This window comes from Homo sapiens, chromosome X (assembly GCF_000001405.40).
Source record: "Homo sapiens chromosome X, GRCh38.p14 Primary Assembly".
Taxonomy (NCBI): Eukaryota; Metazoa; Chordata; class Mammalia; order Primates; family Hominidae; genus Homo; species Homo sapiens.
In genome coordinates, this window is record NC_000023.11 from 154,811,019 (window position 1) to 154,835,297 (window position 24,279).

A 24,279-nucleotide genomic window follows, 5' to 3' on the forward strand; every position below is an offset into this window, starting at 1 on the left:
TTTAACTTCAAGGGTTTTCTTGACTGATAGAGCCCCAAGGTGCCTGGCAGAGCAAAATATGTCTTTTTGAAGGAGTCCTCATTGATACCAGACCTTAAATTCCATACATATTTATAGACTGATAAATCGCTAAACAATCAAGGAAACAAAGTCCCGTGAGGGAGATCCAGCAGAAACGATAGGTGACCAAATTGAACCAAAAACTTCAGATACTGAAATTCAAGATTAGTTAACACTAGAAAATTTATTAATCCAATTTACCATATTCATGGAGAAACTCATATTATCTCAGTAGGTGGAAAATATTCAATGTAATTCAATATCCATTAATGATAAAATATCTTTTATCAAATCTAGGCATAGAAAGAACCATCTTTAGTCAGGCACGGTGGCTCATGCCTGTAATCCCAGCACTTTGGGAGGCCGAGGTGGGTGTATTGCCCGAGGTCAGGAGTTCGAGACAGCCTGGCCAACATAGCTAAAAACCATCTCTATGAAAAATACAAAAATTAGCTGGGCGAGGTGACAAGCACCTGTAGTCTCAGCTATTCGGGAGGCTGAGGCAAGAGAATCGCTTGAATCCAGGATGCAGAGGTTGAAGTGAGCTGAGATCATGCCACTGCACTTCAGCCTTCAGCCTGGGTGACAGTGAGATTCTGTCTCAAAACAAACAAACAAACAAAAAAAATCTTCCCTCTTTAACCGATTTTAAAAAACTATTTGTAAAACATCTAAAATACCTACAACGAATATAGTTTTAAAAAGCTGAATGTATTTCCTTTAACATGTTGAACAAGACAAAGATGCCTCCCTCTATAACCACTTTTCTCTGTGTCGTATTGTAAGTTCTATCCAGCAGAATAAGGCAAAAGTAAATTATCATGGTATAAAGACTGGGAAGGAAGAAACAAAATTGTTGTTATCTATGGATATATTATTGTCTTTGTAGAATATTTAAAAATCTACAGATAAATTATTAAAATTAATAAATGCTATTACTAAGGTTGTTAGCTACAGTCATACAAAGAAATCAATTGTATTTCTATACACCAAAGATACACAGAAAATTTAATTTTAAAAGACACCATTTTGTTATGACATCTAAAATGATCAAATACCTAGGAATAAGTTGAACCATATATAGGTACTGTATGGAGAGAATTATAAAATTCTATCTGCATACATTGAAGAAGAGCTAAAAATTGAAAGAGAAACATGTTCATGGTTTGGAAGGCTTAATTTTATTAAGATGTAGGTTCTCCTGAAATTGGCCTATAGATTCAATGCAATCCTGGTAAAAATCTCAACAGGTATGTTTTGTGAAACTTGACAATCTAATTTCAAAATATGTGTGGAGTTGTAAAGAGCAGGACTAGCTAAAGAAGAACAAAGTGGGGGACCTGTCTTGCAGATAGCAAGACCTTAATAAAGCTATGGTAATTAAGAGTGTGGTATAGGCACAGAAATAGACCAATGGACCAGAAGGGAGAGGCTAGAAACAGATTTGTGCATATTTAGACACTTGATAAGGTGACATGAGACATCAATCAATATATGTAAGATGTACATTGGTTTCATCCAGTAAGGTGGGACAACTGAAATAGAGGAGGAAGCTTCCAGATCGTGGGTAGATAAGAGACAAATGGTTGAATTCTTTTGAGTTTCTGATTAGCCTTTCACTGGATACACAATTTACAGGAATAGTCAATATGTCTTGGTCTGGCTCAGTGCAACAGTAGGGCAAAAGAAGTAATCAGGTATGCATTTGTGTCATGTGAGTAGAGGGATGACTTTGAGTCCTGCCTGCCACTTGTTTCACAAGGAATTTCCTTGTGGGCAAATTGTGAGGGAGGTATGTAGCTTACTTATTTATTTATTTATTTATTTATTTATTTATTTATTTATTAATCTTTATAGCTATCTTATTTAGGAATAGAATGGGAGGGAGATTTGCCCAATGCAGTTCCCTGCTTGACTTTTCCCTTTGGCTTAGTGATTTTGGGGAGATTTATTTTCCTTTCATATTCTCCCCTTTTCTTTTTAAAATCTTTCGGAGAAAGCACTTTAGAAGAAAATGAGCCTCTGGTCTCAGGTTTTGTCTGATCTGTCGTGGCTAGGATGCTTTATTCCTAGACAGATAGGTCCCACATTATTAGGAAAGCTCATTTTTAGCAGGTTGTGAAGTCTCATGTCCTACAAAGGGAAAATAGGGGTAGGAAGAGAGAAAAACAACAACAAACAAACAAAAACTGAGGAACAATCCTGGAAAATCAATATAGGCCATATTCCTCTGAAGTCCATACATCAGTAGGCAGGCATGAAATTGGTTTATGTGTAATATGTAAATTGGTTGCTGTTGTTTTCTTCTGAAGTTTAAGTTGTCTAGCTTTAGTTTACAGAGCTTTAAGAAAGCACAGCTTAATTTTTAAATTTCAAATCAGGAAAAATGGGAAAAAAGGAAAGAATAAAAAATTGAAAACGTTATTTTGGAGACTTGTAGCCAGAAAAAATTTTAGAATTCAGCCCAAACTGTAGAAAATAATAAAAATGGAAAAACGTTAGGGAAGACCAGAATCTAATAACAGGTGTACCATAGTTTATTTTGAAACATAATTTTTCTCTCTCCAGTTCCATTTTCAGTAAAGACAAATCATAGGACAAATTCATTTGCAAAATAAGTTTTAGTCTTATTATACTTGGCTGGAGTAGTCACATAAAGTCAGCAAGAATAATTATTTGCCATATAGGCTCCTCTTTTTTTTTAAAATTGGCTTTGCTGGAACTTTATTCCATAAGGAATCTCAGATTTGAATTTAATGTCTTAAGCCCAGCCTATGTCTGCAAATACCTATGTTAATTGGGTGAATTCCTTACCTCGAGGTTCCAAGAAAACTTGGGGATCCTGGGCCAGTCAGAAAGTGACATTTTTCACTTACCACAGGTCAGGAACCTGTATAGGGACTGCATAGACAAGGTATGAGGCATGTTTTCCCAAGGGGCTTTTATTGGCTCTATAATTCAACTTTGATTACTTGAAGGAATCTGTATTTGAAAGCATGTTATTCCAGTCAAAACCTTGGTAGAATAACCAGTGTCTCCAATTGTGTCCTGTTACCAAAGAAAGCAGATTCTTACTGTACTTGGGCAAATAACAATATTGCCACAAGTTGAGAATACTCACAACTACTTTCCAAATTTTGGAGAAATCAGGTAGAGAGAAATGTGCTCCAAATTTTGTTTATAGGAATATATTTTACTTAATTGTCAAAAGTTTCAAAAAGTTTCTTTGGCTCTGAAAAACAAACAAAAGATCAGCAATGTTTTAGGCAAAAAGTCATAAAAGGATTTATTTCAGTCTTCTATTAGTTTAGTCCATGCAGTTAACTCCTGTTCTGCTTGATATTCATGAACATTTCAGCTCTCTATGGGAGTCTTGGAAGTTTTTCCTCTAATCTAGTGTCACAATCTCCAAGGTTATCAGAAACCTGCAATCAAGAGCACCTGTCAGAGTCCTATGCTGATTATAAACCACCTTTTGAAAAGGATAAAAATAAAACAACTGTGGATGACAAAAGTCTTAAAATAGTCATAGTTAAACACACAATTGACAAGAAAATTTGGTTATTTCTGTGGCATACAACAGTTTTACATAATAATCATAATCACTACTGATAACATATGCTAAGACCTATCAGAATCACAGGAATTTCATACAATTCTGGAACATACACTAATAACACAGTTATATAAACATAATCCAAAGAAGCTTAAACACTGTTTCATATTTGACAATACTTCCTGTATGACTTTATTATACCAAATAAGCTGAATATGTCTCTTCTGAACTTCAGGGAACTAATATAAAAAAATTAATGAGGACTGAAGTTAACATTTGATTTTGGAAAGTTTGTCAAATATAAAAAGTTTAAAACACTTGATATCACAAAATAGGATCACAGGTCATTGTAAAATAAGTCATTCATTTAGCCAAAGTGATAACTCAGTTTTTTTTTTAAAGGTGAAAATCTTTAGTCTTTGAGAGAGGAGACTTAATTTTCCAAACAATAAGCCCTAATAAAGACAGCATGAGGCCAATTAAATTTTTTTTTCAAAATTTTATAAACAATCTATAAAATGTTAACCATCCTGACCATAAGATATAATTTCCATAGCCTTTTTATAACCTTTATAATCTTTTATTAAGGAGTAGTTTAACGCTCCAAGAAAACCTTGTTAATCTGACATAGGGACCCCTATGCTAGTCCTACATCAGTGTGCCTTCAACATTAATGGTTAATTTATAGAGAAACTGAACTTACTTTATCTCTCAAAATCAGCCCTTACAATCTCATGTGCTTGCCTCTTCCACGATAGTCCCTGGGCCTTGAGAAGTTAAATAGTTTTAATTTCTGGCCATGTGTCTCATGAACAAAGTTTATTTTCATTGGCATCTTCTATGGGGTTTGAAGATAAGGATTTAACTGCCGTCAGTGTTTAATATTTAGCAGGACTTGGGGTTCTTTTCAGACCCAGTAGTCAAAGCCCTGTGACTCACTGGCACAAGAACTTTAAAAGCACATATAGAAAGTCACACGGATGTAATAACCTTAATTTTAAAAAAAGTTTTAATCTCAGTTTTTTCCCTAAACAAATCAAAACTTAGTAATAATGACATAGAAATTATTTTGATAAAGCATAAAATCTGTTTATTAGGCCAGTTACCCAAAGGCAAAAGAGACCTTCTGCAGTGCGACTGCTGTTCCCTATGGGGAGTTCCATTTAGATAAGTTCGAGTCAAAACTAATGAAAAAGGTACTTGAACTAGTTAGACATAGGAAGAATGTTTCCTGGATCATAAATGCAAATTTTCAGATCCATAGAACAATTTAAAGCCAAGAGCACAGAATATTATGTTGGAAGGAAACACTTTCTTTAGACCTTTAAGATAAAACATTTTTAGCATCAGATCACAACAAACAGAAACCGAAGGAGGAAAAAAAAAACCGTACAGGAGCTGAAAATGAGTTGAAGGAGAGTTATTATTTCAGACTTTTAACGGAGAGAAAGCTGAAAACACGAGACACAAAGTTGAACTTTGCATTAAAAATCATAATGTCTTATAGTTTTATTAAGGGTAAAGCAAATACCTTAAGAAAATATCATTGTTCTAATCAATCCTTTAGTGTATAAGTGTTTTTTTCTTTAAATATCAAAACCCAATCTCTAGAAAAACCATTATAAATGATTTCCCTTTAATTATAGACAACTTGATCATGTAAGTTTTTTTATTTTCATAATTGAGATTTTATTGGTTGAGGATCAGTACAGACATTTCAATTTGTACACAAATCTTAACATACATAACGAAATTCTAAAAAGCCATGTATTGTAATTCTTTTTTAAAGTTATTCCAGTGACTTTCCAGCTTAAAATTTGGAAGCAAATTTTCCTTAAGAGGCTATCAAGTACCAGTATCTTCACATGTTGGTCAGCTGTTACATACGGCCCACCAGTTCACAACTGAATAGCACGTACACTACATGTTCAAATTTGTAATCTTTCACAGCACAGTAACCAAGTGATTAGGAAAACCACAACCAAAGATGTTACAGAGTGCACACAATTCTGACAGGGAGAGCCATGATCAAAGAGTGGTTTTCTTTAGGAAACAATTCTACTAAAAAACAACATGGGAATAGAAGTAATTTAAAATGTTCAAGACATTAAATGCAGGACTGACTCCATATTGCCATTTAATATGCTTTGTATTATAGGATATAAAAACTAACCCCCCCATCTATGGAATGTTAAGCTGACACCCGAGACAGTCAGAGCCTCCCATAATTCAATATCCCACACTATTTTCTGGTTGTACCAAAAAATAAACAACCAGCAAATGATTTCACCTCTTAAAAAAAGCATTTACACTTAAAAAGTGGGATGAGGTGGGATTCCCTCCTTCTTAAAAATGTTTCTAGAGCTACTAAAAAACTTGCATTTACAAAATAGTTGATAAAAATATTCCTCTGGATTGTACAAGAAGGGAGACAGGGACCACTGATAAGACATGGTATATGGTATTAATCAGACTTGGCTTCTTTCTCTCCTGCTTCATCAGAGGCTGGACTCTCCTCAGTTTTCGTTTCCCTGTTTACTGCAGGTAAATCTTCTTTAGTTTCTTGGTTAGCCACTTCGGCCTGTTTTCCCTTTGCTCTCCTTTTCCCTTTTGTTTGCACTTTTTTGTCTGAAGATTTATCCTTCGCTGCTGCCTTTTTTGGCTTCACTTCCACTTTTGCAGGAGGTTTAGCTGACAACCGCGCCGATCTCCTCTTGGGCTCTTCCTTGGCGGCCCCTTTGGTGGAGCTGACCTTCCTCTTGGGCATCCTGGTGGCAGGGAGGGTGTGTGCCGGGTGCCTGCGGGCTGCGGCGCGCCGAGAGCCTTCGCGAAACTGGGCTGCCTGGCCGCTGCCACTCCTCCCGCCACCCGAGCTGCTGAGACCCACCGATCATATAAGATTTGATCCCATATTTTTTTTTTCTTAAAAGGAGGAACTGAGCTGTGGCCAGACCATTCATGATATGCTTGGACTTTCTGGTTTGTCCTGACCTTCCCTCTTTCTTAAATAAACAATCATTTTATTCTGGGACAAAAAATTACCATATAAGATTCTTTATCATATAAAATTATTTTTAAGCTTTCTTACCAAAAATACTTCATTTCTATACCTTTCTTTACATATCTCTTATTTCCCGGTTCTTTTTACCTTGTTTTATACATAACCTTTAAATAACCTTTGAATTAGACAAAAATTACTCACCCTTTAACAAGAACACACACATTTTTTAGAAAAAATGTTTTCCTACAATACATATTTTTTCATTAGAAAACACCCATTTAATGAAATACCTATTATTTAACTTTAGATTCTAAATGATGGCAAGTTTATCTACAAGTATTTATCCCATCACATTTACCTAATTATTTTATTTTAATAGTTTACCTAGATTATTTATGAAAACTGCAACAGTCACCAAAGTTATTTTCCTGTCAACCATTTTATAGCTTGTGAATTTCAGGCATTTATCTGAGTTAGAATCTTAAGATTGAATACATGGTTATTTTACCAAATAATTCAGGATTTAGCTGTCTTCATTAAACCAATAATAATGTCTTTTTTGTGAAAGATTACACAAGCAAAGATCATTCTGTTTTGGGCTGGGTTTATTGTTTAATAACCTTTATGACAGCTGGGCACGGTGGCTCAGGCCTGTAATCCCACCATTTTGGGAGGCCGAGATGGGCGGATCACGAGGTCAGGAGATCGAGACCATCCTGGCTAACACGGTGAAACCCCGTCTCTACTAAAAGTACAAAAAAATCAGCTGGGCATCTGTAGTCCCAGCTACTTGGGAGGCTGAGGCAGTAGAATGGCGTGAACCCCGGAGGCGGAACTTGCAGTGAGCCCAGATCGCACCACTGCACTCCAGCCTGGGCGACAGAGGCAGACTCCGCTCAAAAAATAAAATAAAATAAGCTTTATGACAAATTTTGACACCTTATAATATTTGGCAGGGATAAGTATGAAATCTCTTGATCAATAAATGCAAACAAAAATGTATACTGACATTTCTGAAGATATTTGTAATATTACTCTACCAATAATTTTAAAGCTAGCTTAGTAAAAACTCTACTTAAGTCATGTGAGCTTGAAAAGCATTTGGGCTTATTATTTAATTTATGAGTACTCTTTAAGCCAAATTTGGTACCTTGTGGCAGAAAACATATAACCAAATACATCTACATACACGTAAACACACACACATACACACTCATATAAACAAATATCCTAGAGCATTTACTTCAGAACTCTAGCCATGCGATATTAATAACAACTCATTGGTTTGCAAAAACAATAACAAAAAGAAACGGTTAGGTGCAAACAGTGGATTTTATCTCAGTAGAAAAGTAACAACAGACTTAAAGCAGGCAGAAAAGAAAGCAGAGAGATAGAGAACTCAGGAGCTTTATAGTTGCAGATTGACCTTCAGGCTCGGAATTTTCCTTGATGTAATCTGCCTGTCAGTTTAAAACGTGCACAATAACAGACCTAACGCGTGAGCAGCTGGAGTCGTAGGAAATCCGGCCCTTCCATTTACACAGCCACTTGCGAGTACAGGAGCCATGAAACCAAATGGGCTTCCAAGGGGGCTTGTTCTCCTTGTCTTTCCTTATTCTTAGATGATGTGTTTCCCACATTGTTTTTTTCTTAAAAGGAGGAACTGAGCTGTGGCCTAGGGTTTAGTGTGGTGGGTCAAAGTGTGCTGGTTGCGGACAGGACTCCACAATGCATCACCACTGAATTGTTTCGGCCCTCTTTTGTGTCTCAGTTTCTCTCTCCAGAGGTCTAGCACCTCTGGGAGGGCTCAAAGCTTGGGGTGAGCAGCTCCTATATGTGCTCCCTGGACGAGGCTTTTAAAACTAATTTTGTTGGCAATTCCCTGTAGGGCTACTGCACATCACATGGAGGCAACCCCCAGACACTCCCACTTGGCCTCCAGTCACCCAGGAGCACCTTTTGACTGGGAGGAGCAAAATGCCCTTTCTCTTTGGGGTTGAGGAAACTCAGTCTCTCATTTATCTATGAAAGTGACAGTGCAGTTCCTCATGCAAATATGCAGACAAGCCAATGGAGATTAATTTGGGCAGGAAAGGCAATGGAGAAGACTCTTTAAAATGCACCTCTGAATTAGAATTGAGATCCTAAACAACCTCCTAGGAGGAAAAAAGCCCAGCCAAGACCACTTTCTGTAAACTGTCCTCGGCCACCTTTAACTGTAGCTCTTGTCTGCTATTACACATGCCAAGGTCAAATCCTCTCACAGGACAAGGTAATCTCTGGTACCCCTGATACAGGACTTAAGAAGAAATCACTTAGGCAGACAGTAAGGGTATGGGGATCCTCAGTAAAGTTTTTCTTTTTAATGAAAAGCAGCCTCAAATGATTTTCTAACAAAGAGCAGCCTGTAAAGTTCAGCTGCAGACATAGAGAGGCAAGATGGCTCCAATCAACTGGAAAGTCCATTTGCATAATAATATTCAGCTGGGGCCACCAGCCTTCCCCCGCACTATGTAAACGTCATACCTGATCGAACCAATCTGTCAGCCCTATGTAAATCAGACACCACCTCCTCAAACCTGACTAAAATTTGGCGCATCCACCACCCGCTGGTCCTTTCCACCGGGAGACCCCTTTCTCTATAGAGAAAGCTGCTTCTCTTTCTCTTCTCTTCTGCTCATTAAACCTCTGCTCCTAGACTTGTGTGTGTCCATGTCCTAAATTTTCCTGGTGCATGACAACGAACCCCAGGGTGTATACCCCAGACAATGTAGCCACTTCACCCCCAGAAGCCAAAGAGGTCAGGTAATGCAATACAGGAGAGCAGAGCTTTACACCTAAGAAGAATCTGCCCATGACTCTTGAAACTCCACAAAGAAAACAGAACAGCCCCAAAGGAGTGAACGGTGCCTTTGTCCTGAGTTCTTTAAAGGGTTAGAGTCATTAGATGCCTTCTTTATATTCTTCTTGGTACCAAAGATGGCGAGGGGAGAAGGAGGAATAGGGTGGAAGAAAAGTAAACGAAAGAACAGTTATTTTTTTAAGACAGGGAGCAAACACACAAACCAACTGCATGTTTGGTCATTTTTTTCTCTTTTGCAGCTGCGAGGAATTTTAGCCAATTCAGAGATACCTTGTTACTCACTATTTGGAATTCTCATTCAAATTTGACCAAGTCAGGTAGAATTGGCCAAATCTGATGGGAGAAAGACTGGAACAAACAACAAAAGAACCCCAACAATATGATTACTGAGTCCTCTAATGGTAAGGAGAAATTAAGACCAGCCGACTGTGAATCATAACTTTAGCCAAGAGAAAACTCCAATTCAGCTACTTACCTAGGAGTGGGTCTCAGGCTGAAGACTGCTCTCTACCATCCCAGAAGTAGGAAAAAACTCAAACTCACCTTCCCTGTTGGAAGTGAGCTCAAATTCCAGAATGCAGTTATTTGCCTTTCATTGTCATGGAAGCAGGAAAACTTGCCTTCCTTGTTGGAAGCAAGCAAAACTCCAGAAAAGGAGTTGTACAGCAAAATAAACTTTAGATCTCAACCAAATTTTGGGAGATGAGGGATTCTCTGGAGGGAGGGGAGCTCCCAGGCCTCAGCAAATTGTTCTATTGGTTTGAGCCATAAAGATAGCTCGAGTTGGTACCAAGTACTGATAGGAGATTTGTCAAAGGTCAGGGCCACCTCCACTCAGAGTCTCTTTGTGGTCACCAAATGTGTACCTCAAATATCTCAGACAGGTCTCAGTGAATTTAGAAAGTTTATTTTGCCAAGGTTAAGGACATGCCCATGACACAGCCTTAGGAGGTCCTGATGCCATGTGCCCAAGGCTTGGTTTTATACATTTTAGGGAGACATGAGACATCAATCAATATATGTAAGATATGCAATGGTTTGGTCCAGAAAGGTGGGACAACTTGAAGTGGGGAGGGGGCTTCCAGGTCATAGTTAGATAAGAGAAAAATGGTTGCATTCTTTTGAGTTGCTGATTAGCCTTTCACTGAATACACAATTTACATGTGAGAGCAGGAAGAGTCACTTATGCTTTAGTCTGACTTTGTGAAACAATAGGGCAAAGGAAGCAATCAGATATGCATTTGTCTCATGTGAGCAGAGGGATGACTTTGAGTTCTGCCTGTCCTTTGTTTACAAGGAATTTCTTCATGGGCAAATTGTGAGGAAGGTATGTAGCTTTAAAAAAAAATCTTTGTAGTTATCTTATTTAGGAATAGAATAGGAGGCAGGTTTGCCCAATGCACTTCCCAGCTTGACTTTTCCCTTTCGCTTGGTCATTTGGGGGCGATTTATTTTCCTTTCATGGGGTCAATCCATCAAGAAGACATAACAACTGTAAATATATATATGTATGTACCCAACATTGGAGCAGCTAAATATATAAAGCAAATATTTACAGAAGACAAGGGAGAAATTGACAGCAACACGGGGACTTCAACACCCCATTCTCAACAGTGGACGCATCATCCAGAAAGACAGTCAAAAAGGAAACATTGGACTTAAGCAAAACTCCAAGTCTTTTCTGAGTTCACCTTGGCTTGCCACAGCAGGCCACATGACAGGCCATGTGGCAGCCCACTGGATCTCACCTCAGCATCAATTAGAATTTCACTTCAGTTTTTCTTTCTCTTTGCATTTTCTCTGTAGTAAATTCCTAACCTCCTGCAGTTTTCTCTAGCTCAATAAATGACAACCCCATTCTTTCATCTGCTTGGGCCAAAAACCTCGGAGGCATGCTTGAAGCCTCACTCTCTCTCTCATCTCATCCAAATCCTAATCAAATCCCATCTGCTCTCCCTTCACATCCCTCCTCCGATCTAAACCTTCTGTTGGCCCCCACTATGGCCCCCAGGAAGAGCCTAAATCCTTTCAATGGCTCACAATATCTACTCTGCCCCTCGCTTAATCTGGTTTCTCTGAATCTTCACATTAGCATGGTGGCTCCACAAGAGCTGGGGTTAGATAGCACCATTGCACTCCAGCCTGGGTGACAGAGCAAGACCCCGTCTGTTTGTTACCTGTTCAGTGTCTGGCTCACAGTAGGTGATCAACAAGTGTCTGTTGAATGAATGATTTCAAACTCAGAACAGCAAAAAGGAAAAGCAAATTAATATATATTTTTTTGTGACGGGGTCTTGCTCTATCACCCAGGCTGGAGTGCAATGGCACTATCTCAGCTCACTGCAGCCTCCACCTCCCGGATTCTAGCAAGTCTCCCACCTCAGCCTCCTGGGTAGCTGGGATCACAGGGGCTCACCACCATGGCCAGCTAATTTTTGCATTTTTAGTAGAGATGGGGTTTCACCATGTTGGCCAGGCTGGTCTCGAACTCCTGACCTCAGGTGATCCACCCGCCTCGGCCTCCCAAAATGTTGGGATTACAGGCATGAGCCACCGCACCCAGCCAATAATTTTTAATAATATTACCTGTATTACATTTATAATAGTCAATAAATAGAAATACCTTAAATAATTATTATATGGAGAGGTCATTAAATGACTTATGTCATCTCCACTACATTAAAAAAAAAAGCTCATGTTTAAATTAGTTTGGGAAATGCTATATATTATACTCCCTTGTGGAGATTAGTATTAGCCTGTTAAAAGTTCTTAGAAGTCCTTGAGCAAAGAAAGATAGCTTTAAATTTGTTTAATCCAGCATTTCCCAAACATAACTGACCACAGGGCCCTCACTGTTTTGTGACTTTTATTAAAACAGAACTATTGTTTCACAGAACAGACTTTGGAAAACTTGTAATACATATATAGAAAAAAATTGAAGGGAGGTACATCAAGATGTTAATGATGTTTATTTCTGGTTGCTAGAATTATGGAAACTTACTCTTTTCTCTGTATTTCTCAAATTTTTTTTGCAATAAATATGTATTACTATTATAACCAAAACAGTAATAAGGATATTCACATTTTAAAATTGCAACTTTTGAAGGAGAAAATGAAGGCAAAGGATGATTCAAGTTGGAAGACGATTTAATTTCAACTGATAGATACTTCCTCATTTTAAGCAGATAGCAAATGCCCCACTCTTTTGGAGTCCAACTGGAGAGACCACACTTGCCCTGTTGAATCTTCTAGTTCTTCAGTGGACTGGATCAACTACAAGAATGCTGGGAAAGGAAGATAAAATGGTGAATGCTCTGCACAGAGTTGCTATATAATTATATAACCTTTTCAAAGATTGGATTTGACACCAGTTTTTCTCTTAATATGAACCAAATAATTCCATACAAACAAAATACTTTGATGAAAAAGCAGAATAAGAATGTGTTTCCAGTACAGTGGGGCTTGGAGGTAGTGGTATAAGTATGGTTAGGTAGTTTTTCTTCTTTTGTTTTTAAAGTATCTTTTTAAAAATGAACTGATCAAACAATACAGCTCATTGTAGAAAGATCAGAAAGTGGGCCGGGCGCGGTGGCTCACACCTGTAATTCCAGCACTTTGGGAGGCCGAGGCAGGCAGATCACGAGGTCAGGAGATCGAGACCATTCTGGCTAACAGGGTGAAACCCCGTCTCTACTAAAAATACAAAAAATTAGCCTGGCGTGGTGGCGGGCGCCTGTAGTCCCAGCTACTCGGGAGGCTGAGGCAGGAGAATGGCGTGAACCCGGAGGCGGAGCTTGCAGTGAGCCGAGATCACGCCACTGCACTCCAGCCTGGGCGACAGAGCGAGACTCCGTCTCAAAAAAAAAAAAAAAAAAAAAGAAAAAGAAAAAAAAGAAAGATCAGAAAGTGCAATTAGACAGGAAAAACAAAAGTTAACACCACCGCCAATAGTAATAAAACAACCTATTCACTACCACAAGGAGATAACCAATGTCTAATACTTGGGTTAGGTTCTTAGAGGCTTTCCCCCTATACAATTAGTTTTTAATAAGAAATTAGACTAAACTATATATCTTCTGTTATAATCTGCTTTTTCCACTCAATGATATTTCATGAATATGTTTCTGTGTAATTATCCTTAGTACTCAGTGTATGAATGTGCAATACTTTCTTTAGCTAGCCCCAGACTGATGGACATTTAAGTTTCCATTTCTTCACTATCGTAAACCATACTAAAAATTCCTTGTACACATATCTTTGTGGACTTGTTAGAGCCTGTCAGTCCTCCTGATTTCCACCTCTGCTTCTGGAATGCTGGGAGATTAGCCAAGCTTCCATGTGCCTCAGGTAATAAGCAGCTAGCTTAAGCCTTCATTACAGCTGCAGCTAATGGTATACACAGGTGAGTATAGAGGAGGAAGAATGAGGCACAGAGAGGCTGTGTGCAATCCTCACTGTGAAATGTCTTAATTAAAAATCAACAAGTATTACTGAGAGTCTACTATGTGCCCAGTAGCAAGTCCCAATTTTTCCTGGGACTTGATGTGTCCTTTATGACCACAGACTCCAGTCTTCTTTAATTTCTGCAACACTTAAAAAATTATAACTTGGCTGGGCGCGGTGACTCACGCCTGTAATCCCAGCACTTTGGGAGGCCGAGGCGGGTGGATCACGAGATCAGGAGTTCAAGACCAGCCTGACCAACATGGTGAAACCCCGTCTCTACAAAAAATACAAAAATCAGCTGGCTGGGCGTGGTGACGCGTGCCTGTAATCCCAGCTACTCAGGAGGCTGAGGCAGGAGAATCGATTCAACCCGGGAAGCAGAGGTTGCAGTGAGCCGAGATGGTGCCACTGCACTCCAGCCTGGGTGACAGACTGAGACTTCACCTCAAAAAAAAAAAAAAAAAGTCAGGAAACAACAGGTGCTGGAGAGGATGTGGAGAAATAGGAACACTTTTACACTGTTGGTGGGACTGTAAACTAGTTCAACCATTGTGGAAATCGGTGTGGCGATTCCTCAGGGATCTAGAACTAGAAATACCATTTGACCCAGCCATCCCATTACTGGGTATATACCCAAATGATTATAAATCATGCTGCTATAAAGACACATGCACACGTATGTTTATTGCGGCACTATTCACAATAGCAAAGACTTGGAACCAACCCAAATGTCCATCAATGATAGACTGGATTAAGAAAATGTGGCACATATACACCATGGAATACTATGCAGCCATAAAAAAGGATGAGTTCATGTCCTTTGTAGGGACATGGATGAAGCTGGAAACCATCATTCTCAGCAAACTATCGCAAGGACAAAAAACCAAACACCACATGTTCTCACTCATAGCTGGGAATTGAACAATGAGAACACATGGACACAGGAAGGGGAACATCACACTCTGGGGACTGTTGTGGGGTGGAGGGAGGGGGGAGGGATAGCATTAGGAGATATACCTAATGCTAAATGACCAGTTAATGGGTGCAGCACACCAACATGGCACATGTATACATATGTAACAAACCTGCACGTTGTGCACATGTACCCTAAAACTTAAAGTATAGTAACAATAAAAAAAAAAGAAAAAAGAAAAAGAAAAAATTATAACTTTTTCTTCTGTTGGATTATTTTGGTTCTCTTCATCGAAGAAATCATTCTGTGCCTCCTGCATCTACCATTTCTTCTCTAATCTTACTTTCACCAAACTGTTTACTTAATACTGCTTGCCTATATAATCCTATTTTCCATATTTTCTTTCATATTTTGCACCAATGTCTCTTTTTCTTCATGCTTCCTCATTTTGGTGATAGTTTTACTTTTTGTCTTTTACATTTTTCTTGGGATTTTCCAACTAATTTTCATCTTCTTCTTTTGTTTTGGTATACCTTATCTGCCCTGTTGTATTTCTGCATATAGCATTTACTATTATTATTATTGAGATGAGGTCTTGCTATGTTCCTAGGCTGGTCTCAAACTCCTGGCCTTAAGCAATCCTCCTGCCTCAGCCTCTGAAAATGCTGGGATTACAGGCATGTGCCACCATGCCCGACCTTAGCTATTATTTTATATTTTGTATCAAATGTTTTGAATTTATGGCAATATGTTAGTACATGGTTTTTATCTGCCCTGAGATATTTTTCTAGTGAGTATTCCTCATCTGCCATTTCTTGCTTATACGTTTCTTGTGTTTTCCATATAGTAACTCTGCATAGATCTGGTGCTGTTTCCTGTTGAATGAGGTAAACTCTTACTGGACCAGTTATTTACAGGAGATGTGCACAAGTCCAGAGCTATACTTTGGACTAACAAATTCTCTTCATGATGCTGAGGTATGTGTGAGCTCTTGTAGCCTTTACTTCTTTCCAGTCAAGTGAGAGCAGCAGATGTAGGTCTGAGCATAAAGAAGTTTCAGACTTTACCTTCTTGCCTCAACAAACTGCTTCTTAAAAATATGGCTTGCCTATATGCTTATTCATTCCAATTTACCTGTTAGGCTTCTACTTGGTGCCCAACTGGGTCCAGAAATGTTTCTTTCACTAGTTAGCTTGCTTGTTCCCAGCAAGGGCTTATTGGCTTTTCTATTCAGGTTAAGCCATCTACTTCAAAGAAGGAATTCTTTTTCTTGGCATATTGCCTGCTTTATCTTCACAGAAGTCCCTCTGAATATTAATTAACCAATACTTCAGATGCTTTTGATGCAGCTGACCTGCTGACCACAGTTTGAGTAACAATGACTTCAAAGATGTGGAACCAGACATATCTTGATTTGAGTTCCAGCTCCCTTGGTTGGTTGCTAGGTATACTAGTCAGGGATATTCAGCTGCTATAACAAACAATCCTGAGATCTTAGTAGCTTAACACAATAAAATTGATCCTTCACTCATGCCTCATTCTGATGTAAGTTAAGTTCTCCTCCACAAGGTGATTCAGGGATCCCAGCTCCTTCCATCATGTGGTTTCACCATCTTAGAGTCCTTCAGTTGAAGCCCTGCATATGTGAAAGAGAGAGGCAGCATGGACACATGTGCAAGACATTTTATGGCTAGGCCTGGAAATGTCATACATTCCTTTTGCTCGTATTTAACTGGCCAAATCTCAGTACTGTGGTCCCAGCCTAACTGGAAGGAAGGTTAAGAATATAATGTTACTCTGTGCTTGGGGAAGAAGGAACAGGATTGCTGAACATATAGCCAGTCTCTGTTACAGTCTGTCTTTCTGATCACCCAGTATCTGTTTCACTTTTCCTTTCATACGTGGAACACAGCCACCCTGTCATGCATATGGAAATATTCCACCCATATTTCCGCTTGAGAAAGGCCTTATTTCCCTAGCTGCTGAGAGTGTTGTCAGCAGAAAGCCTCTACCTGTCAGCTCATTCAGAGTCTGCCTCAGCTGCAGAGAGCTTCCATGTACTTTCTGGGGGCAGCCCACATCCAGTGAATGACTGAGGTGGGGTTAGAGAGGTCCAGCCATTTCAGCCATGTGGGACAACCCTGATGGGGCCGACTGAGTCTTTGTTGGGCTTGCAAGGCAGTTTGATTTCTCCCTTCCACCCCCTATCTTCCACAGGCATTGATCATTAATTATACTCTGAATGCCAAATTCCGGTCTCCCTGTCTAGTTTCAGAATACCTGACTTGTGGCAAACCCTTTCCTCAGTACTAAGTCACACTCATCACTGTGTCCAGCTCAAAGTCCAGAGTATCTGGGTGATGCTTAGTTCTCTCAAGTCTGAGGGTGGCTCTGCTTGGTTAAGTGACCTATGAACTAAAACGAGTTATATGCTCCTGATCTCCACACCCCAGAATAATGATGGAACAGGAAGAGGATAAGCACCATAAACATTCCCATTTGGAAATAGGAAGAATGAGAGACACACAGCAGTCACTGCTCTGTGGCAATCCTGGAGTCCTGGTAGGTAGGCATGGATTAGGCCCAAATCCTGCTTTCAAAGGGTGACTCTGTGGCCCATTGTCCATTCTCTGGGAGGCTCTACTGATCCATTATTCTCTATGGCTGCATCTGAAGCAAATGTTGGGACCTTCGAAGCTGGTGTCCTTCTTTTTCATGGAAAGGTGGAGGCCTAACTATTGTTTACAACAGATGGCTCATTTAGTTCTGGCTTATGGTTTCTCTGGCAATAAGCTTCTCTCAAAAGCTTAGCTGACTTCTAATCTATTTGTCTCCAATCAGTTCCATGTGCCAGTAACCACATCCAAGGTTGCTTCCTAGACACAGTTCTTGATCCTGTGATCATTTTGAGGTTACAGGAGCCATAGGTGATGCCACACCCTTAATCTGATCTTTATCCTCAGCCACTTTTATTAGATTTTTGAGCTCTGCAGGACCCCCCATTTCTATTCTCTATTCCCTTTTAGTTCCTCTTGCAAACTGGCCAACTATTTCCTGACCTCATCTCTTTAACACCTTTGTTGATCACTTTCATAGGTCTCCCCACTTGGACTCTGTCTCCCACAATAGCAATGACCTACCAATTTGTAATTTTTAATTGTCTTCTTTCTCTGCCTTTCTAGCAACAAGCACAGAGACAAGCAAGTAGTCATTTGTTGGTAAATACTGACTGAATTAACAAAATTTAGCTCAACTATTTTGTTTTCCTCAGGATTCTTTTGGCTTCATATGATTTATGTAGATAAATATTATGATAAATTTTCAGGAAATTGAGAGCACAGCTAATTATTTATTTTCTATGTATAGTTCTTGAGCCACAGGGAAGAAAAATTAGGAGTTAATAAAGTTGATAAAAGAAATGACCATTGGAAACACTAGTCATTAAATGTGACCTGTCAGTCACTGGTAACAAATGGAGCAAGTTGGAGGAAGTAAAAGAGAAAGTAGACATTTTAAAAGGGGGTTGCATGACCTTTCACAGTTTTCCTCCCAGAATTGAATTTCTTAAAACTTTCCCTTAATTACAGATATGCAGGCTGGTGAGCAACCTGTTTCTGTTCCCACCCCCCTTCACATTCCCTCTCTCCTCCCTGTCTCTTCTTCCCACAGAAGCTTACGTGAAGCAGCAGAGGATCCCCATTAGTGCTGAGGTGAGAAGAAAAGCAACAATGGCTGCTGGAGGTAAGGCACTCTTGATAAGTTGCCATAAGTAATCCCTGAAGTTGTTCAGCCAGGACCTGTGATTACCTGCAGAAAGAGCATAGACATTCATTGAGGAGAGGTCAAGTAAATGATAGGGCTGGCGTTTGAATCCAAATTCGAGTTCAAATAGTTGTCCCAGATATCATGTTCTTACAGTTGTCCAGAGCCCATATTCTAAACTACTTTGCTGTGCTGGCTGTAAGATGTTCAAAGGGCAAACATTTTGTTTTTAAAGTATCCTGAGATGGATATAATTTTTGCCTCCTTGTAAGTCAAATAGGAACAATAATTGTTGTTTCGGATATCTTGAGTATATTGGGTACTTTTTGAAAGAGAAGCATGACTTGATAACAAGAAAGTCTTTACTAAGGTGTTGTTGCCTAGAGTATATCTGGGAGTCCTGCAGGAGGCTGAGGAGAGGGAGTATCCCAGGAAGAGAAAGGAGAAGGCCACCAGCCCTAAGAGCAGAGGAGAAAGGGGCCAGGGCCACTGGAAGAAGGACCTCTAGGGGGAGTTTGCTGATCAATGTAAGGCTGGGGATGTTGGGTCTTTTCATTAGCAACTGGGGGAGGAAGGTACAGTGCTTTGACCCTGAAGAAAGAAGGAGGGGAAAACGAAAGTGTCTGCAGCATGGAGTTGAGAGGATTCACCACTAACCAGCAAGACACTTGAATAGCATGTGTGTGCATGTTGGAACCTAGATTGTGGATCAGTGGACCATCAGGTTTATTTTCAATTTCACCTCCTTTGTCAAGTCTTTCCTGACCCCTCCCCCAAAACAATTTAAATTATCCCCTTGTCCCCTGGGAGCATTGATCATACTCCATGGAAGGTTGGCATCTATGGCTTTGTCTGCCTATCTGTGAGCTCCTTCATAACAGAGGCTGTTCAATTCCTAATCCATGTAGTTCAGAAAAGGGCTTGGTACGTAGTAGGTAGGTTAATGCTTGTTGAACTAAATTGAACCAAACCAGAATAGTTTGCTTTCCTATGAACATTCTTTTTAAACATGAAATTCATTTTACCTGACCTGAACTGAAACATGAATCTTAAGTCCTATGAAGAAAGAAACATTCATCCTAACAGCAAACACACCCCCTGAGCGTGGTTTCGATCCTGTTTTTTCTTGTATTCCCAAGGCAGACAAAGGCAAAGGAGAGGAAGCTACTGTCTCCAACAAGAGGCAAGTTAGAGAGCATAGCAGAAATCCAATTATCAGCAGCTTCTGGGGTTCCATGGACTCCCGCCTTCAGCTGCGGCTGAAGAGCTGGTAATCCTAGCTCACTCTGCCAAGGAGAGATGTCTTTGTCCGTAGGTCTTTCCACAGAAACTTTGTCTGAAAAGTTAGACAATGATGGTTTAGCTCATATTCCAAAAATCTTCTCACCATCACGAACATAAGGACAATTGACTGACTTACACAGGTGACTCCTGAAAATGGTCAGTTTCCAAAGCAAAATATATCCCCTCCAAGAAAACAAAACAAAACCTGACTATGCTCTATCAGGTCAGATACCGGACATTCCTTCCTACACCTGATACCTTTTCAATCTTCCCCAACTCAATTAGTAGAAACTCTTTCACCTGTTCAGGCTGAAAAAGGTACATTCACATTGTTGTGCAACAGATCTCTAGAACTTTTTCAACTTGGAAAACTGAAACTCTAAACAGCTCCTCATTTTTGTTTCTATGAATTTGACTACTTTAGATACCAAATATAATAAATTTCTATATATTTTTAACTCCATGATATATTTTATATATTCAAGTAACAAACTTTAAATTGCTTTAAAAAGTAAATGTTTGCTTAGATTTACATATATAGTAATGACTCTTCTTTTTCTCTCATACACTTTATCCATCAGAAAAGTCTAGTCACCTTTACTTACAAAACGTATCCAGAATCCTGCCACTTCACACCACCTCCACTGCTACCCACCATCATCTCTGTCTTTCTGCTTCCGTCCTTGCCTCCCTTAAGCCTCTTCTCCAGTGAGTGGCCAAAGAGATCTTGGTAGGTTGTAGGTCAGATTATGTCCTAGTTACTGCTGACCACATATCCTATGAGTCTCCTCTTGATCATCACTCCAACTTAGCCTCATTTCATTTTGAACAAGCTAGGCATGTTCCTACCTTGGGGCTTTTTAACTTGCTTTTCCCTTTCCAGGGAATGCTTTTCCCCCAGGTATTCTCAGAATTTATTTCCTCACCTCTGTCAGGTACTCAAATATCACCTTCTCAATGAGGATTTTCCTTAGATCCCATTGTTAAAATTGTACCACCCTCCTACAAACTTCCTAATTGTCTTACCTGCTTGATTTTTCTCCAGAACCTCATCAGAACCTAGTAGAATATATTTTACTTTACTTTATTATATGTATCTCCTGAATATAATGTAAGCTCTATGAGTGCAGGGATTTTTGTCTGTTTTGTTCACTGCTAAACAGTACCTAGCACATAGGGTATCCAGGTGCTCAATAAATATTTTTTGAATGAATGGCGACTTTTGGCAGATATTGTTCCCACCCATTTTTCATTTACTACATCCAACTAGATAAGCTGAAAAAGCTGAATCCTCCCTTTCTTAGCCATCCTTGAAGTTAGGCATGGCTATGTGACATAGCTCTGGATAATGAAACATAAGGGAAATCTGATGGATAGCTTTTGGGAAGGCTTTTTGCTGTCTTGATAAAAGAGATGGTGCTACCATTTTCCCTTTATGCTGCCTTGAATATTGCTTAAGAAATGTTGCCTGAAGTTGCTCTGATAATTTCAAGCCACTAAACTAACACCTGTATCTGCTTACTTCTGGACTGCATGGTATGAGAAAAATATACTTTTATTTGAGCCATTATAATTTGGGCCTCCTATTACTTAAGACATTTATAACTGATACACTCACCTACTGTTTGATACGGCTTAAAGAGACCCACATCCAGCGGGAAACCACTTACCTGAAAATGGACTTAGGACCACGGAATTCAAAGAAACCAGTGGAATTAGGCCTTAGTCTTTAGAGGGCAGAAGTCTTCAGAAGAAGCTGGTCAGTCTTCTCCTTAGGTCTCTGAAGTTCCAAACAGAATTCCACCACTCCTTATGATATCACTGATTACATTTAACCCTCCCCCAGTCTCCTTATTTGACAGCTAAGCACACAGACATCATTTTCTCTCTATGTATAAACATCTGTGTTGATACCAAAACCCATCCTTGCAGTAGTTCTATCCTCTTAGGCTTGAATAATTCTAAGATATTTTATTCACCACATGGTATCTAACTATGCATTATAATAACATATATATGTGGCATTTCATATCAGGGAAAAAGACCTTATTTAATATGATGTTGGGTGTGAGCCCTTTGCCATGCTATGCAAAATAGAAATTCTAGATGGATCCAGGACTAAACAAAAAATAAAATTATATACAAAATATGACATTTTCTGTCATACTTTTATGATAGAAAATTCTATGTGTGGATATTTTTATAATCTTGGTGCAGAAAAAGCTACTCTAAGCATGTCATAAAACCCAAAGCCATAAATGAAAATGCTGATAAATTTATAACATAAAAATGTAAAGCTTTCATATAGCAAAACATTGTTTAAAAAAGATAAAAGGTTAATGACAAATTAAGTAATTTCACAGCATATACGACAGACATTCAATTAAGATTGTTAACGTACAAAGAACTCTTACAAACTAATTAAAAAGAAATAGTACTGGCTAGGCACAGTGGCAGACGCCTGTCATCCCAGCACTTTGGGAGGCTGAGACAGGAGGATAGCTTGAGCCCAGGAGTTCGAGACCAGCCTGAGCAACATAGCGAGATCCTGTCTCTACAAAAAATTTAAAAATTAGCTGGGTGTGGTGGTGCATGCCTGTAGTCCCAGCTACTCGGGAGGCTGAGGCAGTAGCCTGGCTTGAGCCTGGGAGATTGAGGCTGCAGTGAGCTATGATCATGCCACTGCACTCCAGCCTGGGGGACATGAGGGGCTTAAAACCTAGATGATGGGTTGATGGGTGCACCCAACCACCGTGGCACATGTATACCTACGTAACAAACATGCATGTTCTGCACATGTATCCCAGAACTTAAAGTAAAAAAAAAAAATGCAAATCAAGTCGAGGCAACATAGCAGGATACTGTCTCTACAAAAAATAAAATATTAAAAAAATTAAAAAAATAATACTTATCCATAGAAGAACTGGCAAAAATGGTATCTCAGTTAGGTTCTATCAGAAAACAGAGCTACCAGGAAATACATAAAATGAAAGTTTTTGTAGAGTCCTCCAGTCTCCCCCAGTTTCTTGCTGTGTCATGCTAGAAAATCATGGAGTGGCTTGATCATTCTGTGACCCAGCCAACAGGCCTGAATGAAAATTAGGACCTTGAACATTCCCAGGCGCTGATAAAGGTGTATCTAGGTTGTGACCCGAAACACTGGAGGAAGCTGGCCCTGGCCCTTGAGCCAAATTCCTCTAAACCCTCATATGAGCTCCATACCCTGACCTTTCTGTGGAAGGAAAGGTGAGGTGAAGTGGAGAAAGCAAGTATACACTGGAAGCCTGAAAAGAGAAGAGCCCATGAAATGGACTAAAACCTGCATCAGTCTCATGTTATCTCCAAGCTTCTAACTTCGATGGTGGAGTAACATGCATGAGAAGGTCAGGTGTTTTCTGAAAGAGCTAAACACACAACTTTTCTAGGATTTGGAGAAGCTAAAAGATCCAGCAGGAGCTGGAGGACCTGCAAACTTGGTCACTGTCCTGTGCCCACCAGGTAACCCCACAAAATAGTGACAATGTGAATAAGCTGAAAATGAGCATTGTATGCCTGTCTGACTTTTCCATTGTAAAAAGAATATGGCTGTCATATAAGTTAACTTTAGCTGAATGAAAAATGACCTCCAACTTAGCAACTGTGAAGAAAACATTTATTACCTTATAGTTTCTGTAGGTTAGTTTTGGAGTGGATGATGAGATTGGAGTCATGTATCTGCTGGGACTGCAGTCATCTGAAAGCTTGACTGTACTGGAGGATCTACTTCCAAGATGGTGCACTCACATGACTATTGCTAGGATGACCAAAAGTCCCAGCTTGCCTGGGACTCAGGATTGGCTTCATGGGAGTTTGATCTATGCAGGTCTACAGGGCCCCACACCCTGAGGGGCCCTATGTTTCGTTTGCTCTGATGTCACTGTCTCGAAATTCTTAATAATTTTATCTTTGATCTTGTGTTTTGTAAGGGAAGTTTAATGAGACCGCCTATTTCATCACACTCATTTTCTCCTCCCCACTGACTTTGCCAACATTCTTCTCCCTTTGAGTCTCACTGAACTCTGATGCATTGTGGGTCCACTAGAATGTTATGCTCATGGGCACTGTATACATTCTTTGCTATTCTATTTGCACATAGTGTTTACAATGCATTTTTGCATTGTTGTAAAACTGTAGTAAGAACACAACGTGGTATCTGCTCTCTTAACAAATTTTTAAGTGCCCAGTATGGTATCGTTAGCTATATGCACAATGTTGTACATTAGATCTGTAGAACTTAATTCATCTTGCATAACTGAAACTTTTTTTTTTTTGAGATGGAGTCTCACTCTGTTGCCCAGGCTGATGGAATGCAACGGCACGATCTTGGCTCACTGCAACCTCCACCCGCCTCCCGG

General features: G+C 39.5%; 1 protein-coding gene and 1 pseudogene across 1 annotated transcript, besides 2 other annotated features; both read right to left on the reverse strand.

Annotated features, from left to right (window-relative positions):
- HMGN1P37 (high mobility group nucleosome binding domain 1 pseudogene 37) lies at positions 5,287-6,503 on the reverse strand (annotated as a pseudogene).
- On the reverse strand, positions 12,330-23,644 carry SMIM9 (small integral membrane protein 9). Its single transcript, NM_001162936.4, has 5 exons — positions 23,545-23,644; positions 21,556-21,665; positions 19,697-19,937; positions 18,517-18,646; positions 12,330-12,764 (listed from the first exon to the last, which is right to left on the reverse strand). Exons 3-5 carry the CDS (start codon positions 19,836-19,838, stop codon positions 12,737-12,739), a joined length of 300 nt encoding a protein of 99 aa, NP_001156408.1. The 5' UTR covers positions 19,839-19,937; positions 21,556-21,665; positions 23,545-23,644; the 3' UTR covers positions 12,330-12,736.
- Positions 16,834-16,913: an enhancer, noted in NCBI's record as "active region_30070". NCBI's record gives its function as "activates an Ori minimal core promoter by ATAC-STARR-seq in GM12878 lymphoblastoid cells {active_cell/tissue: GM12878}" and the evidence as "EXISTENCE:reporter gene assay evidence [ECO:0000049][PMID:35858748]".
- Positions 16,934-16,983: an enhancer, noted in NCBI's record as "active region_30071". NCBI's record gives its function as "activates an Ori minimal core promoter by ATAC-STARR-seq in GM12878 lymphoblastoid cells {active_cell/tissue: GM12878}" and the evidence as "EXISTENCE:reporter gene assay evidence [ECO:0000049][PMID:35858748]".

What these genes read in the sequence shown, in the direction of transcription:
- SMIM9 (NM_001162936.4), bottom strand. Translation starts at nt 19,838, where the DNA reads ATGGAACCCCAGAAGCTGCTGATAATTGGATTTCTGCTATGCTCTCTA. An exon ending in ATCGAAACCACGCTCAGGGG is followed by an intron (nt 18,647 to 19,696) that starts GTGTGTTTGCTG and finishes CTCTTTCTGCAG; the next exon opens with GTAATCACAGGTCCTGGCTG. An exon ending in GGGATCCTCTGCTGCTTCAC is followed by an intron (nt 12,765 to 18,516) that starts GTAAGCTTCTGT and finishes TTCCTTTCCCAG; the next exon opens with CATTCTTGTAGTTGATCCAG.